Below are 16,436 nucleotides of genomic sequence, written 5' to 3'. Positions count from 1 at the left end.
AAGGGGCTGGCAAGAGCTCTCGGTGAGCCAGGCGGGCAGAGGCACAGGCGGACGGCAGAGGCGGCAGCAGCAGTTCACATTTATTGAGGGCCTGCCCCCAAGGAGCTCACAGCCTGGGGGCTGAGACCCCGAATGTGCAGGGGGCGGGGAAGAAAAGAGGTGAAGGCAAAAAGGCAGGCAATGCAGAGACACCGTGGCCCAAGCAGAGGGGGTGCAAGGCAGGCACAGGCAGGGGGCCTGGGGCGGATGGGGAGGTGGAGAACCGGCAGCCCTGCCTAGACCTGAGGACTGTAGACCCCACACGTTTGAAGGCTGCCCTCCCCCACCAGGATGGCACTGCCCGGGCACCCTGTGGGAGGCCCAGCTCCTCCACCTGCCCTGAGCCGGGTCCAGCCTCACAAAGGCCCCTCCACCCAGGACTCCCAACCATGCAGACTCCCGGTGGAGGGCAGGAAGCTGGGGTCTGGGGCCCAGCCGGGACGTGGAGGTGGGGCCTATGAGGGAGCAGATGAAGTGTGGGTGGCCCTGGGACCCTGGGCAAGTCCCTAAGGAACTTCCAGGATCCCATAGAAGCCCCTGAGCCAGCTAAGAAGGGAAGGAAGCAGAACCCAACGAAGCAGGAGGGGCCTCCAAGAGGCCTGGCCCCTCAAACCTGCTCCTGTTGGGGAAGCTCAGGAGTAGATAGGTGAAAAGCAGGGGGACCCACCTGGGGGGAGGGGGCAGCAGACAGAGCAGCCAGGCGGGCAGCAGAGCAGGGACACGCACACACGGCTCACCACCAGCACCCCCTTTAATAAAACATGGGGGGGGGTCATGTGACAGGAAGAAGGGGGTGAAATAGGACCATTTACAACCACAGAAAAACCTCTGTACATGTCTAGCGCCTGGCAGAGGGGGGCAGCAGGGCAGCAGCGGGCTGGAGCCAGCCCTATTTGTAGAGGATATCGTAGTGTCCAGGCCGGTAGAGAAGGTAGACCTTGGGCTCGGAGCCCTCAGGGAAGATGTGCGGATTGGTGGTGCCGCCCTCGCCGCGGTCCATGTACTCCACCTGGATGGACACGCTGAGGGCCTGGGCCAGCGCAATGATGTGGATGTGGTCGCTCTCCTTGCACATGGGCTCCACCTCCTGTGGCACAGGTGCCGGTCAGGCCCTGGTCTCCGCACCCCGCCCCAGGCCCTGTGGGCCCACTGCACTCCCCCGGCCGAGAGTAAAGGGGAGGGGGACGGCACCTGCTGGCAGAACTCCTTGACAGTCCGTCCACCCTCGATGAAGTGCTCGAAGAACTTGCTCTCGCGCTGCAGGTAGCCCGAGGTGAGCAGCCGCAGGTAGACCACAAGGTAGTCGGAGGTGCTCTGGTCATTGAAGGAGGCCAGCAGGTCGGCGACAGAGGTCTGCTTCTCCACCTGCTCAATCAGGTCCATGAACTGCAGCCACGGAGGGAGAAAGGGCAAGATGACGGGGAGGAGATGGGTGGTCCTCACCAGGTGAACCCCTCCCCCATGGCCCAGCCCAAGACAGGCACCAGGGCTCACCGTGTTGTGGAAATCCTCAATTGTGAATTCAGTGAAGCCCTGGGACACCAGGTCTTCCTTGCTCTTGGCAGACACAGCCTTGAACCTGGGGGTGGGATGGAAAGGCGGGCCCAGCATGGGCTCCTCGACCAGCCCAGACGCCAGGGCCGAGACAGCACTGCCCCGCCTGGCAAGGCCAGAGTCCAGCCCATCGCCCGGGAAGGAGGGAGACACCCTACTCGAGACACATCCTACTCGCCCGGGGAGGAGGTAGACACCCACCTGCCTCGGTGCCCAGTGCCCACCCTTCTCACCGCTGCAACTCCTTGCTGTCATCCAGCAGTGCCTCCAAGTGGGAGAATCCGAAAGCCCGATAGAAACAGTTGCCGTCAGGCCTGGTCTTGCGGATGTACGAGTACTTTTTGTGGAGGTCCTGCGGAGACAGCCCCACCCCGACAGGTTAACATCAGGCCAGAACGGGGGCTGGCCAAGGAAATGTCCCCCAGCAAAGGTCACACTCCAAAGGTGGCAACTGAGCTCCCAGCAGCCACCTGCCACCCTGGGTCCCTGAAACAGGCTGCTGAATGTGGCAATGGGAGCGGCCCACTGCCCAGAGTCCTCCCAAAAGACGGCAGGAAGCTGGGCACTTAAGGACAAACTAGTTGCATGGGTCACTAAAGTTCTGCGGGGCCTACAGGACTGTACAACAACAGGTGAGTGAATGTCCTTGAGCAATGCGTTTCCTCCAGTCTTTCAGCCCAAGAGAACTTCAGGGCAAGCAAGTCAGGGCCAGGGTGGAGTGCTGGCCTCCACGCCTCAACCAGGTGGCTGGGGCCCTCTGCACAGCCCAGCTCAGCCCCGCTCCCGCCACACTGAGAAGAGTTCCCCCACCTCTAAGCCTTGCCCGCAGCCCTCCTGGGGCTAGAAACAGCCTCCCTCCTCTACTTGTTTTTTTGAGACAGAGTTTTGCTCTTGTTGCCCAGGCTGGAGTGCAGTGGCGCGATCTCGGCTCACTGCAACCTACACCTCCCGGGTTCAAACGATTCCCCTGCCTCAGCCTCCCAAGTAGCTGGGATTACAGGTGCCCACCCACCACGCACACTTCACCTGGCAAGCACACTTCACTCCCCTGGCCTGGGCACCCTCCCCTCTCCCCTACCCATCTTGCTCCTACCCCCAGCTGATGACCTTGTCTTTTTTCCTCAGCCCCCACCAGCACATCTGCCTTTGGCCTCCTCCCACAATCCTCAGAGGATCTGTTCCAGCTGCCACCTAAGCTGCCTCTCCACTCCACACTAGCCCACCCCCACCCTCAGGCTCAAGCACATCATTCCAAGCTGGGCGCCATGGCTCACACCTATAATCCCAACATTTTGGGAGGCCAAGGTGGGAGGACGCTTAAGCCTAGGAGTTCGAGACCAGCCTGGGCAACACAGTGAGACCCCCGTCTCTCTAAAAAAAATAAGTGGCTGGGCGCGATGGCTCACGCTTGTAATCGCAGCACTTTGGGAGGCTGAGGTGGTTGGATCACCTGAGGTCGGGAGTTCGAGACCAGCATGACCAACATGGCGAAACTCCATCTCTACTGAAAATATAAAATTAGCTCGGCATGGTGGTGCATGCCTGTAATCCCAGCTACTCGGGAGGCTGAAGCAGGAGAATCGCTTGAACCCGGGAAGCAGAGGTTGCAGTGAGCCGAGATTGCGCCATCGCACTCCAGCCTGGGCAACAGAGCAAAACTCCATCTTGAAAAATAAGCAAGTGAGCTGCACATGGTGGTGCATCCTGTGGTCCCAGCCACTCGAGAGGCTGAGGTCGGAGGACTGTGTGGGCCCAGGAGGTCGAGGCTACAGTGAGCTGTGATGGCACCACTACACTCTAGCGTGGGTGACAGAGTGCGTGAGACCCTATCTCAAAAAAAAAAGACATCATCCTAGGAAGTACCCCCATCATCAATTTTTCCCACCCTACTGGTTTAGACCCAACAGCATATACACATTCAGCTACTTCTTTAAAAGGAAGGGAATCCTGGACTTTACGTTTCTGTCTGGCTACCCTTCAATTTCTCTGCTTTCTTTACAGCAAAACTCCTCATGAAGCTGTCCGTGCTGCCTCCACCTCTTTTCTCCCTCGGGAGGCTTTTGCTCTAGCCAAGGTCAGCTGAACGCCCTCAATCAGAGGGGGCAAACCCAGCGCCCCACCCCCACTGGCCCCTTAGCAGAACTGAGGCCACTGGCTGTGGCCCTGCCTAGATGCCTCCTTCCCTGGGCTGGCGCCCCCACCCTCTCCTTGTCTTCCTCCTGCCTCCAAGGCCACTCCTCATCTCTCTAAGCTCTGAGGGTCAGGGATGCCACCAAACCATACAGCACCCTTCGAGACATGGTGTGTCACCTGCAAGAAAACAGTCACTGAGGCTGGGTGTGGTGGCTCACGCCTATAATCCCAGCACTTTGGGAGGCTGAGGCAGGCAGATATCGAGGTCAAGAGATCAAGACCATCCTGGCCAACATGGTGAAACCCCGTCTCTACTAAAAATACAAAAATTAACTGGGCGTGGTGGCACACACCTGTAGTTCCAGCTACTCTGGAGGCTGAGGCAAGAGAATCACTTGAACCCAGGAGGTGGAGATTGCAGTGAGCCGAGATCGCTCCACTGCACTCCAGCCTGGGCAACAAAGGGAGACTCCGTTTCAAAAAAGGAAAAAGGAAAACAGTCACTGCACACTTAGCCACTGTGCCTGCCATGTGACCACGGGCATGAGGGCTGTCTCCCATGTGCCTACCCCGCCCTGCTCAGGCCTGGGACAGCTTCCACTTTTCTTTTTTTTTTCTTTTCTGAGACAGGGCTTTCTATGTCACCTGGGCTGGAGTGCAGTGGCAAGATCACGGCTCACTGCAGCATCAACCTACCAGGCTCAAGCAATTCTCCCACCTCAGATTTCAGAGTAGCTGGAACTACAGGTGCACACCGCCACACCCATTTAATTGTTGTATTTTTTGTAGAGACGGGATTTCACCATATTGCCCAGGCTGGTCTCGAACTCCTGGGCTCATGTGATCTGCCTGCCACGGCCTCCCAAAGTGCCGCACCCGGCCAGCTTCCTCTTTGAAACTACACTCACTCTCATGGCCAGGTACAGTGGCTCACACCTGTAATCCCAGTGTTTTGGGAGGCCAAGGGGGGAGGATCAAGTTGAAGGCTAGCCTGGGCAACACAACAAGACCTCATCTCTACAAAAATGTAAATTATACTTGCTCTCTTGACGACATCAGTCTCAAGCAATTTTTTTTTTTTTTTTTTGAGACAGTCTCGCTCTGTCGTCCAGGCTGGAGTGCAGTAGCGCGATCTCGGTTCACTGCAACCTCCGCCTTCCGGGTTCAAGCAATTCTCCTGTCTCAGCCTCCTGAGTAGCTGGGACTACAGGCGCGCGCCACTATGCCCGGCTAATTTTTTTGTATTTTTAGTAGAGATGGGGTTTCACCATGTTGGCCAGGCTGGTTTTGAACTCCTGCCCTCAAGTGATCCACCCACCTTGGCCTCCCAAAGTGCTAGGATTACAGGCATGAGCCATTGCCCCTAGCCAAAGTCTCAAGGATTTAAATAGCCCCAAGTGTGAATCTCAACTCTCAACTCCAATTACGATCCTCCTATCTACCAGCCTCACCACACCTCCTCTGAACTGTCCAACAGGCATTTCCACTGAGTGCAGCTGAGATCAACCTCCGAACAACTGCTCCTCCCCGAGGCTGCCCCACCTCAGTCACCCACAGCACCCAAAGCCTTCCAGTCGCTGCCGACTCCATCACCATATCCATCCCTTCAATATGTCTGGTATCCAACTGCTTCTTACTCCTCACCTCTACCACCCGCTGCCCGCCTCCAGCAGATTTTACTGCACAAGTCTCCTGGCAGTGTCCCTGCCTCCCCTTCACCCTCTGGAGTTTATTCTCACCCCAGCAAGAGAATGGCCAGGGTCGGCTTGGCGTGATGGCCCAGGCCTGTAATCCCAGCACTTTGGGAGGCCAAAGTGGGTGGATCATTTGAGGTCAGGAGTTCAAGACCAGCCTAGCCAATATGGTGAAACCCCGCCTCTACTAAAAATACAAAAATTAGCCAGGCATGGTGGTGGGCATCTGTAATCCCAGCACTTTGGGAGGCCAAAGTGGGTGGATCATTTGAGGTCAGGAGTTCAAGACCAGCCTAGCCAATATGGTGAAACCCCACCTCTACTAAAAATACAAAAATTAGCCAGGCATGGTGGCGAGCATCTGTAATCCCAGCTACTCAGGAGGCTGAGGCAGGAGAATTGCTTGAACCCGGGAGGTGGAGGTTGCAGTGAGCTGAGATGGTGCCATTGCACTCCAGTGCACTCCAGCCTGGGTGACAGGGCAACACTCTCTCTCAAAAAAAAAGAAAAGTGACCAGAGTCACCTGCCAGATGCACCCTATCTCCATCTCCCTCAGAGTCCTTTCTCTCGCCACAACACCCCACCCCGCCCCGCCCCGCTCAGTTCCCCAGCCCCAACCCCTCATTCTCCACCAGCCACACTGGCCTCCATGCTGGCCTCAAACCATCCAGGTGCCCTCTCGCCTCGGGCCTGGGTGGGCACTGCTCTCGGACGCCTGTGACTCGCTCCCCGGTCTTTTTCTGTTCATTACTCAAATACCACCTCATCAGCAAGGCCTTCACCAAGCCCTGTTTAAAATGGCAAATGCTCCCACTCCCAATCCCCTCTTTTTTTTTTTTGAGGTGGAGTTTTGCTCTGGTCACTCAGGCTGGAGTGCAGTGGCACAATCTCGGCTCACCGCAACCTCCACTTCCCAGGTTCAAGAGATTCTGCTGCCTCAGCCTAAGTAGCTGGGATTACAGGGATGCGCCACCACACCCGGCTAATTTTGTATTTTTAGTAGAGACGAGGTTTCACCATGTTAGTCATGCTGGTCTCGAACTCCTGACCTCAGGTGATCCACCTGCCTCAGCCTCCCAGTGTGCTGGGATTACAGGCGTGAGCCACCACGCCCGGCCCCGATCCCCTTTTCATTTTTCTCCACAGCACTCACCGCCTTCTGATACCCCACATGTCCCAGAGCCCTCTTTGGCTTATCATGTCTTTCCACCCTGAACTGTAAGTTTTGTGAGGGCAGGACTTTGTCTGCATGGCTCTATCTTCAGTACCTAGAACAGCGCCTGGACCACAGTCCGTTCTCAATAAACGTTAAATGAGTAGCACACCAGGACCACAAAGAACCCAAATCACCACTGCTACTGTAGCAGCCACCATGGCCATTGTGAGCACACTCTCTGTGCCAGGGATTTGGCACAGGGCGAATAAACGTCATCCTAATTGATCCTCACAAGAGCCCATTTAGAGAGAGAGGAGCTCTCTCTGCTTGGGCTCTGCTGCCACAGCTGTCTCTGCCCAGGGAGAAAAGGTGGGCTCAGGCACAGCATACAGAATGCGGGTGCTGGGGGCACAGAGAGGCCTTTTAGACAGCATGCTCTGGACATCCAAATGTTTGATGACTCCGTGGGAAGAACCTGGGGCCCAGCCTGTCCTGTCCACTTTACCAGGGTGGTCTAGCATGAGCGGCAGGCCTTGGCATGGGGGGTCCCACTGGAGGACACTGACATAAGAGGAATGAATGAATGAAGCTCACCCCCTGTATGGGGAGAGGAGCAGCTTTGTAACCCGCTGCTTACAACCGCCCGTAACATCTCCTTCAACCCTCACAATTGCCCTGTGAGGCAGACAATGTCCCCGCCCAGAGAGAACAGGGGATCCAAGAGCTTCAGGGTGTTGCCCGAGATCACACAGCTCAAAGTGGTGAGGCCAGGACTGGAACCCAGGCCCATCAGGCTCCACAGCCAGTGCCTTCATCTCTCCACAGGCACCCTGAGGAAATCTAGCTCCCTGAGGAGGGGGCCTCAGTAGATCACAGTGCACAGATCTCACACAGCTGGATCTGGCCTGCAGGTGTGTTTGGCCCACACATTTAAAATTTGAATTAGCTGCCAACTGTTAGAAGTCAGGAGCTGTGGTTACCTCTGGCTTCTCTTGGAAAAACAGATCTGGAGACAATGGTATGGACACTCCCATTTCCCCCAGGGGCCTCTGCTCCCTATTAGTGTCTGGCTGATACTGAGCTGTGCTGCCCTCCTTGTTCACCATCTGACTTCCTGGCCACCTTCAATCACCTGGGTTACCTACCTGGCCACAGAGGCCTCCCCTACCAGTAGAGGACTCTAAGCATCTGTCATCTTCCAGGGGAAGAGAAACATTTACTAAACACCTACACTGAGCCTACCAGATACTGTTTCCACACACCCATTGTCACATTTATTTATTTATTTATTTATTTATTTTTTTATTTTTTTAAGAGACAGGTCTCACTGTCACCCAGGCTGGAGTGCAGTGGTACAATCATGGCTCAACTTCTTGGGCTCAAGTGATCCTCCAACCGCAGCCTCTTGAGTAGCTGGGACTATAGACATGTGCTACCACACCCAGTAATTTTTTGATTTGGAGAGACAAGGTCTCACTATGTTGCCTGGGTTGGTCTTGAACTCCTGGGCTCAAGCGATCCTCTGGCCTCAGCCTCCCAAAGTGCTAGGATTCCAGGCTTGAGCCACCATGCCTGGCCCCATTTCACATGTCATCCTCCCAGCTCACAGACCTAGAAAGTGGGTGGTGAAGTTTGCCTCCGTTTGAGTGATGCAGCAGGGCCCTTTGAGGAAATCTGTGGCCCCTTGACCCCACTGCTGCCTGCCTCTCCACAAAGATCCAGGAGGCAAGCTGTGGGAAACAGCCCTCTGGCAACCCTCCTACCCCACTGAGCACCAGCCTGGTCAGCCCCCGTATGGGCACCGAGATCATCAGCTCCTGCCCAGCCTGCACCTCCCTCAATCTCACAATCGCCCTATGGGAAGATGCTTTTTTTTTTTTTTTGAGACGGAGTCTCACTCTGTCGCCCAGGCTGGAGTGCAGTAGCGCGATCTCGGCTCACTGCAACCTCCGCCTCCCGGGTTCACACCATTCTCCTGCCTCAGCCTCTCCGAGTAGCTGGGACTACAGGTGCCCACCACCACGCCTGGCTAATTTTTTTGTATTTTTAGTAGAGACGGGGTTTCACCGTGGTCTCGATCTCCTGACCTCGTGATCCGCCCGCCTCAGCCTGCCAAAGTGCTGGGATTACAAGTGTAAGCCACCGCGCCAGGCCTTTTTTTTTTTTTTTTTTGAGACGGAGTCTTACTCCGTCGCTCAGGCTAGAGTACAGTGCGGGATCTTGCCTCACTGCAACCTCCGCCTCCCAGATGCAAGCAATTCTCCTGCCTCAGCCTTCCCAATAGCTGGAACTACACGCGCGCACCACCACTCCCAGCTAATTTTTGTATTTTTAGTACAGATGGGGTTTCGCCATGTTGACCAGGCTGGTCTCGAACTCCTGACCTCAGGTGATCTGCCCGCCTCAACCTCCCAAAGTGCTGGGATTACAGGCGTGAGCCACCGTGCCCGGCCAGAAGATGCTTTTATTGTCCCTATTTATAGATGAGAACACCCATTTTAGAGACACTAAAGGACTTGCCAAGGATACAGCTGCTGAGTAGCAGAGTCTAGATTTGAATCAATGTCTTTTTTTTTTTTTTGTGAGACAGTCTTCTGTTGCCCTGGCTGGAGTGCAGTGCTGCAATCTTGGCTCACTGCAACCTCCGCCTCCCGGATTCAAGCAATTCTCCTGCCTCAGCCCTGCGAGTAGCTGCGATTACAGGTGCCTGCCACCACACCCGGCTAATTTTTGTATTTTTAGTAGAGATGGGGTTTCACCATATCAGCCAGACTGGTCTCGAACTCCTGACCTCAGGGGATCCACCCACCTCGGCCTCCCAAAGCGCTGGGATTACAGGCGTGAGCCACCGTGCCTGCCCCCCACCTTTTTTTTTTTTTTTCTGAGATGAAGTTTTGCTCTTATCACCCAGGCTGGAGTGCAATGGTGTGATCTTGGCTCCCTACAACCTCCACCTCCCAGGTTCAAGCATTGAATCAATGTGTTTTTGAGGCCTCAGCCTACGCACTTCAAGAACCAGCAACGAAAAGTGTCCTCCAACACCCTACTCCCTCAGGTGACAGACCCAGCAGGAAGCAAGTCTGAAGCAGGCACCCTCCTGCCCCACCCCCAGGGTGCTTCCCACCCGCTCTGGCCAGGCTCCCACCTTGATCTTCTGTTGATAGATGTTGTCATCTTCAGCATACTCCTTGTATAGGACCGAGAGCTCCAGCCGCTCTGACACCAGAGGGTTCTGCACAGCAATCTGGAGGAGGCAGGGATCTGTCATGTCCTAGCAGGGAGATGGAGTGACCCATGCCTAACAGACAGAATAACTACAAAAGAGCTGGGCTGGTCACCCGGTGGCACAGCGACCCCCAGAAAAGCACCAGTACCTAGCATAGCCTAGGGAGGAGGGAGCTTCCAAAGTAGAGACAGACAATAGGCCTCATGCCCAGCCTATGCATTTCCACAATGGGGCTGCTGGCCACTGCCTCCCTCGCCCACTGCAGCCCCTCACCTCTTGCTGAATTCGGTCCTGCTGAGCCATGATGGCTTCATCATAGGCCAGACAGTTAACACCTGGGAAAAGGAAAAAAGCCAAAGATTACAGGGGGTCCTGGCCATCTCCACTGCAGGCAGCTGGGCCAGGGACAAGAGCAGCCCAGGGTCAGGAAGACAGGCTTAGAATCTGGAAGCAGGTATGTTACAGATGTCCCAGATGCAAGCAATTCTCCTGCCTCAGCCTTCCCAATAGCTGGAACTACATGCGTGCACCACCACTCCCAGCTAATTTTTGTATTTTTAGTACAGATGGGGTTTCGCCATGTTGACCAGGCTGGTCTCGAACTCCTGACCTCAGGTGATCCGCCCACCTCAACCTCCCAAAGTGCTGGGATTACAGGAGTGCTCCACCTCAAGTGTGTCATCTTGGCAAAGTCCCTTCCCCTTCTGGGCTTTCATTTCCTCATCTTTAAAATGAAGGGGCAGAGGTGCACCGTGGTATCCCTAAGGTGCGCTCTTTCAGCTCTGACACCCCCTTCCTCCCGTTAACATCACTTCCCAGCAGCCTGGGAATGTTCTGGGGCCAGGCGTGGTCTCTTGCAGAAAGTAGGACGAGGAAGCAGAGTCCTGGCCTGGAGGAGAGCTTCCTATGAGCCTGCACTTTACTCCATCACCGCCTTCATCCTCTTGCGGTCGTGGATATTGTTAATGGTGCCCATTTTACAATTAACAAAACAACTGCAGACAGGTGAAGCAATCTGCTCAAGGTCACAACTAGCAAAAGACCTGCGGTCAAACCCAGGTTTGTCTAATTCCAGGCTGAGCTCTTCAGCACAATACCTCTCCTTGGCTACCACATGGCAGAGACCTTTCCTCAACTGTAAAATGGGGCGAGTACCCTCGCCTTTCTTAGAGGCATACCAGTACGTGCTCTAGGATTATCAGCCAGCTGGGCAGGTCCACCCTATGGACCCCACTGTGAGCAGCTATCGGTGAGGAGCTAGGACACCTGAATTTTAGTCCTGGCTCTCTCTTAATGTCATCTTGAACAAGTCCCTTCCGGGGCCGTTTTCCCACTTCTCGTTCCCTCAAGTGTTCGGTGAGAATGAGGTGCGTGGGCTGAATGACTTTAAAGGTCAACCCTTTTGGGGCTCGCCATCCCAAATTCTTGGCTGGGCGTCGACCTACCTACCCTTTTCGCACTACTCTGCAAAAGAACTGTCCCTGCCACCCAATGACCTACGCGGTCCCCAGGGCCCAACTCATAGGCGGGAAAAGACAGAGTGGGACCATTTTTGAAAGGCCCATCTCCTAAGGAGACTAACAATGTCTAGGCAGGCGGAAAGGGGCTGCAAGGCCAGAAGAGGCGGCTCTACCAGAAAAAGTCGCAGGCCTCAGGGACAGATCCCGCAGGCCCCTCACATCCCAGGGCCGCCTACGACATCCCGAATGGCCCGCCCGGACCTTTGTGCTCCGTAGCCCAGCGAAACTCGAGGCCCTCACGGCGCGGGCCGCCGCTGGAGCAGGCCGGGGGGCTCGGCCCTGGCGTAGGCCTCTCTGCCTGACTGCAAGGACAGGGGCGAGAGGGCTCGGGGCCCCTGGAGCCAGGAGCCGAGGGGTTGGGCAGAGGGCGGAGCGACCCAGGCCCCGCCCCGGGCGCACACGATGGAGAAGGGCCGCGGGCCTTGGCCCGCCTCGCCCGTGCTCCCTCCCGGCCGGGGGTCGCGGCGGTGGCTCCTTCCATTGTGAGGGGGAGGGGAGGCAGCGGAGGTGGAGGAAGGGACCCCTCGCGCACCTCGACCCCAGAGCCAGCGGCCCTGCCTCCCCTCCCTCCTCGGGAGCAGCTGGCCCGGCATCGCCCCCACTAGCCCGGGCCGGACATCCCTCCTTGGATCTGTACCTTCGGAGTCGCTGCCCAGCGGCTCCTGCTTCTGCTGCTGAGGTTCCTCCGCCGCCATCTTTAAACAGCGCCGCACTACCGACCGCTTCCGGGTTGCCAATTGCCGTCCTCCCGGAAGCGAGCCCCTCCTCGTTGCCCCGCCTTGGCAACAGCCCTAGCAACGGGATCCCCTTAGGCGTTGTCAAGGAATGGGCTTCCAGTCCCGTGGCAGGTGCTGGCACGCCAGGCCTGCGGACCTGAGACCTGTAGGAGAGGCCGGCCGCCCCAGATCCGCACCTCCACCCCACACATTGGTTTGGCTCCATCTTCCCAGCCTCCCAAAGTTCCCGGTGGTGATTGCAGATCCTCCTGGAGCCAATTCCGTTTTCTTTTCCCTGGAGTTTGAAACGCGGATTTTGTTATTGAGAGAAGTAGAAAAGTGAAATTAAAATCACCGAAGGCAGCATTCCTGCTGCGGGCTTCGGCAGGCACTGCATGCGACCATAGCTGCAGTGCGGAGCAGCATCTGACCCAGGAGACAGGAAGTCGGCCAGCGCCGGGGCGCCCGCGGAGCCCCACATCGTGGCCCCACGGAACCTGGGTTCTCTGCCGGCTTTGGTGAGCTGCTTCCGGCAAGGAGACAGCATCCCTTGGTGTCAAGGCCAAAGCCTCATGACCTAACTTTGGGCTCTGTGTCCTTCTGGTTTTTAAAGCAGGACCTTTAAAAAAAGAAGAAGAAAGAAAAGAAAGGGTCTCGCTATGTTGCATAGGGTAGTCTCGAACTCCTGGGCACGAGCGATCTTCGGGCCCTGCCTGAAGAGTAGCTGAGACTCCAGCCGCGAGCCACCACTAAAGCAGGGTCTTTATAAAAGCAAAGACTTCACAAAAAAGGAAAATAATGGTTGCCAAGAGTCAAGCGGAGGTGCTGGAGGGAAGTGGATGTGGCTGTGAAAGGGAAAGTCTGGATTCTTGTGAAGGTGGAAATGCGCAATACCCTGACTCTGTCAGTATCCTGGTGTATGCTTCACAACATTTTTGCAAGATGTTAGTGGGGGCAGGGGAGACTGAGTAAAGGATACATGGAATCTTTATAATTTCTTTTTTTTTTTTTTTTTTTTTTGAGACGGAGTCTCGCTCTGTCGCCCAGGCTGGAGTGCAGTGGCACGATCTCGGCTCACTGCAACCTCCGCCTCCTGGGTTCACGCCATTCTCCTGCCTCAGCCTCCCGAGTAGCTGGGACTATAGGCGCCCGCCACCACGCCCGGCTAATTTTTTGTATTTTTAGTAGAGACGGGGTTTCACCGTGTTAGCCAGGATGGTCTCAATCTCCTGACCTCGTGATCCGCCCGCCTCGGCCTCCCAAAGTGCTGGGATTACAGGCGTGAGCCACCGCGCCCGGCCTCTTTATAACTTCTTTAAGTTCCCTGTGAATTATCTAAAAATTACGTTTAACATTTTTTTTTTTTTTGAGACAGAGTTTCTCTCTGACCATCCAGGCTGGAGTGCAGTGGCACGATCTTGGCTCACTGCAACCTCTGCCTCCCAGGTTCAAGCCATTCTCCTGCCTCAGCCTCCCGAGTAGCTGGGACTACAGGCGCCCGCCACCACGCCCGGCTAATTTTTTGTGTTTTTAGTAGAGACGGGGTTTCACTGTGTTAGCCAGGATGGTCTCGATCTCCTGACCTCATGACCCGGCCACGTCGGCCTCTGAAAGTGCTGGGATTACAGGCGTGAGCCATCGCGCCCAGCCACGTTTAATTTTTTAAATAGCAAAGATGGCTGGGTGTGGTGGCTTATGCCTGTAATCCCAGCATTTTGGGAGGCCAAGCTGGGAGAATTTCATTGGAGACCAGCCTGGGCAACACAGGGAGACCCACCCCCGCATCTCTATAAAAAACATTAAAAAAAAAATTAGCCAGGTGTGGTGGCATGCACCTGTAGTCCCAGCAACAGGAGTGCAATAGCGATCTCGGCTCACCGCAACCTCTGCCTCCCGGGTTCAAGCGATTCTCCTGCTTCAGACTCCCAAGTAGCTGGGATTAAGGCATGTAGCACCATGCCTGGCTAATTTTGTATTTTCAGTAGAGACGAGGTTTCTCCATGTTGGTCAAGCTGGTCTCGAACTCCCAACCTCAGGTATCCGCCTGCCTCGGCCTCCCAAAGTGATAAGATTACAGGTATGAGCCACCGCACCTGGCCTTGCCTAGCTCTTTTCAATGATGGTTTATTTGGTGGTTAATAACTGTTCTCTTGGCCAGGCACAGTGGCTCACTCCTGTAATCCCAGCACTTTAGGAGGCCAAGGCAGGTGGATCACCTGAGGTCAGGAGTTCAAGACCAGCCTAACATGGTGAAACCCTGTCTCTACCAAAAATTCAAAAATTAGCTGGCTGTGGTGGCGCACGCCTGTAATCCCAGCTACTCAGGAGGCTGAGGCACAAGAATAGCTTGAACCTGGGAGGCGGAGGTTGCAGTGAGCCGAGATCAAGCCACTGCACTCCTCTAGTCTGTGCGACAGAACGAGACTCCATCTAAAAATAATAATAATAATAAATAAGTAAATAACTGTTCTCTTATCCTCATTCCATCTGTCCTGTTAATTTTACTGTGTGAGGATTTTGGTTCTCTATCCTGAATCATCTAAATCCCACCTGCAGGCCGGGCTCGCTGGCTCACGCCTGTAATCCCAGCACTTTGGGAGGCTGAGGCGGATGGATCACCTGAGGTCAGGAGTTCGAGACCAGCCTGGCCAACGTGGTGAAACCCCGTCTCTACTAAAAATACAAAAAAAGTAGCTGGGTGTGGTGGCAGGCACCTGTAATCCTAGCTGCTCGGGAGGCTGAGGCAGGAGAATCGCTTGAACCCAGGGGCTGGAGGTTGCAGTGGGCCGAGATCATGCCACTTCACTCCAGCCTGGGCGAAAGAGGGAGACTCCGTCTCAAAAAATAAAAAAAATAAAACCCTTGGCCGGGCATGGTGGCTCAGGCCTGTAATCCCAGCACTTTGGGAGGCCGAGACAGGTGGATCATGAGGTCAGGAGTTTGAGATCAGCCTGGTCAAGATGGTGAAACCCCGTCTCTACTAAAAACACAAAAATTAGTCAGGCACGGTGGCGGGCGCTTGTAATCCCAGCTACTCGGGAGGCTGAGGCAGGAGAATCACTTGAACCCGGGAGGCAGAGGTTGCAGTGAGCCGTGACTGCACCACTGCACTCCAGCCTGGGCAACAGGTGAAACTGTCTCAAGAAAAATAAATAAATAAATAAAATTAAAATAAAACCCATCTGCAGATTCGCCAGGAGCCCCTGGCACAGCCCCAGACATTTGTCTCTGCTCCCCAGTTTGCCACCCTGGAAATGGTCCCATGCTGCTGGTCCTTCCTGTCAAGGGCCTGTAATGACACAGGCAGCACAGGCACTTGGTTGAGGCTGCATGTCGGAGACAGTCACAGAGGTGACAGGTAGCAGCCAGAGTGCCAACATAGCACAGATGCCTCCTCACACCAACCTGCCAGACTGGTGCCTGCCCAGACCCCACATCCATGTCCATGGGATTCCATCAGGTGGAGGGAGGGGAGGAGACCCCATAGTGGGACTCAGGGACTGTGAAACTTCAGCCTTAGAGGAAGTTTACACAACAGCCCAGAGGCCCCAAGGGGCCACATGGCTCCAGACCCACCCAATCTCTTCTGCCTCTGCCTCTCAGGGAAGGGAGTCAGGCTGAATGGACCAAGACAACAGGGGCATGGCATGGGCCCTGGAACAGCCACAGTCCTCACAGGAAGGTGTGGCCAGCCCAAAGCCTGGAAGGGTGGGCCACACATGGGGATTAGGCGACCATTCTCGGTGCAGGCTTGGGAGTCGGGCAGCTGCCCAGACAGCGGGAGTAGGGGCATGCTTGGCCCCCACATAAACCTTGCATTGTACCCACGAGAGTCTCCAGGCAGCAGCCCTGAAATCGTGGTCTAGGGAGGCTTTGACAGCAGCAAAGGCTGATGCGGCAGAGCAGGGTCTATGCCTCAGGGCCATAAGTTGGGCTGTGAGTCACCTGCAGGATTCAGACCTCCTAAGGCCGAAAGCAAGCAGAGGGGCAGAGGCAATGCAGGCAGAGCCCCTCCCAAGCAACTCCCACCACCCCAGTCCTCGCTGGGGCACCCACTGTAAGTGCTGTACATTCACTTCACTTTATGCCTGCAGACGGTCCCAGCAGCTGGGCCCAGACCCTCCCCAGGGCCTCACAGCACCACATGATGCATTACTTTCCTTATTGCTTCCGTAACGAGTCACCACAAACCTAGTGGCTTAAAACAACACAAATTTATTCTCTTACAATTTTTTTTTTTTTGAGACGGAGTCTTGCTCGGTTCCCCAGGCTGGAGTGCAGTGGTGCGATCTCGGCTCACTGCAAGCTCCGCCTCCCGGGTTCAAGCGATTCTCCTGCCTCAGCTTCCTGAGTAGCTGGGATTATAGGCACCCACCACCACGCCCAGCTAATTTTTT

The 16,436-nt window shown here is 55.6% G+C and overlaps 1 protein-coding gene across 2 annotated transcripts, besides 2 other annotated features; it reads right to left on the bottom strand.

Annotated features, from left to right (window-relative positions):
• Positions 1-62: 62 nt before the first annotated feature.
• OTUB1 (OTU deubiquitinase, ubiquitin aldehyde binding 1) lies at positions 63-12,037 on the bottom strand. 2 transcript variants are annotated; one of them, NM_017670.3, is made up of 7 exons: positions 11,961-12,037; positions 10,077-10,138; positions 9,723-9,821; positions 1,827-1,945; positions 1,534-1,618; positions 1,231-1,425; positions 63-1,126 (listed from the first exon to the last, which is right to left on the bottom strand). In NM_017670.3, the coding sequence occupies exons 1-7, from the start codon at positions 12,016-12,018 to the stop codon at positions 929-931; spliced, it is 816 nt and encodes a 271-aa protein (NP_060140.2). In that variant the 5' UTR covers positions 12,019-12,037; the 3' UTR covers positions 63-928. The 2 variants fall into 2 exon arrangements, 1 of the variants encoding a protein (NP_060140.2); NR_003089.2 differs by having other exon boundaries at positions 1,534-1,945.
• Positions 735-1,672: an enhancer, noted in NCBI's record as "H3K27ac-H3K4me1 hESC enhancer chr11:63764275-63765212 (GRCh37/hg19 assembly coordinates)". NCBI's record gives its function as "activates a minimal SCP1, AML or CMV promoter by ChIP-STARR-seq in primed H9 embryonic stem cells {active_cell/tissue: H9 hESC(primed)}" and the evidence as "EXISTENCE:reporter gene assay evidence [ECO:0000049][PMID:30033119]".
• Positions 11,589-11,958: a silencer, noted in NCBI's record as "silent region_3453". NCBI's record gives its function as "represses an Ori minimal core promoter by ATAC-STARR-seq in GM12878 lymphoblastoid cells {active_cell/tissue: GM12878}" and the evidence as "EXISTENCE:reporter gene assay evidence [ECO:0000049][PMID:35858748]".

The sequence above is a fragment of the Homo sapiens genome, chromosome 11 (genome assembly GCF_000001405.40).
Source record: "Homo sapiens chromosome 11, GRCh38.p14 Primary Assembly".
NCBI classification, from domain to species: domain Eukaryota; kingdom Metazoa; phylum Chordata; class Mammalia; order Primates; family Hominidae; genus Homo; species Homo sapiens.
Note: the sequence above shows the minus strand (reverse complement) of the source record. Positions and strands in the feature narration are given on the sequence as shown.

What these genes read in the sequence shown, in the direction of transcription:
- OTUB1 (NM_017670.3), bottom strand. Translation starts at nt 12,018, where the DNA reads ATGGCGGCGGAGGAACCTCAGCAGCAGAAGCAGGAGCCGCTGGGCAGC. An exon ending in TCTATCAACAGAAGATCAAG is followed by an intron (nt 1,946 to 9,722) that starts GTGGGAGCCTGG and finishes CTGTCTCCGCAG; the next exon opens with GACCTCCACAAAAAGTACTC. An exon ending in TCAAGGAGTTCTGCCAGCAG is followed by an intron (nt 1,127 to 1,230) that starts GTGCCGTCCCCC and finishes CCTGTGCCACAG; the next exon opens with GAGGTGGAGCCCATGTGCAA.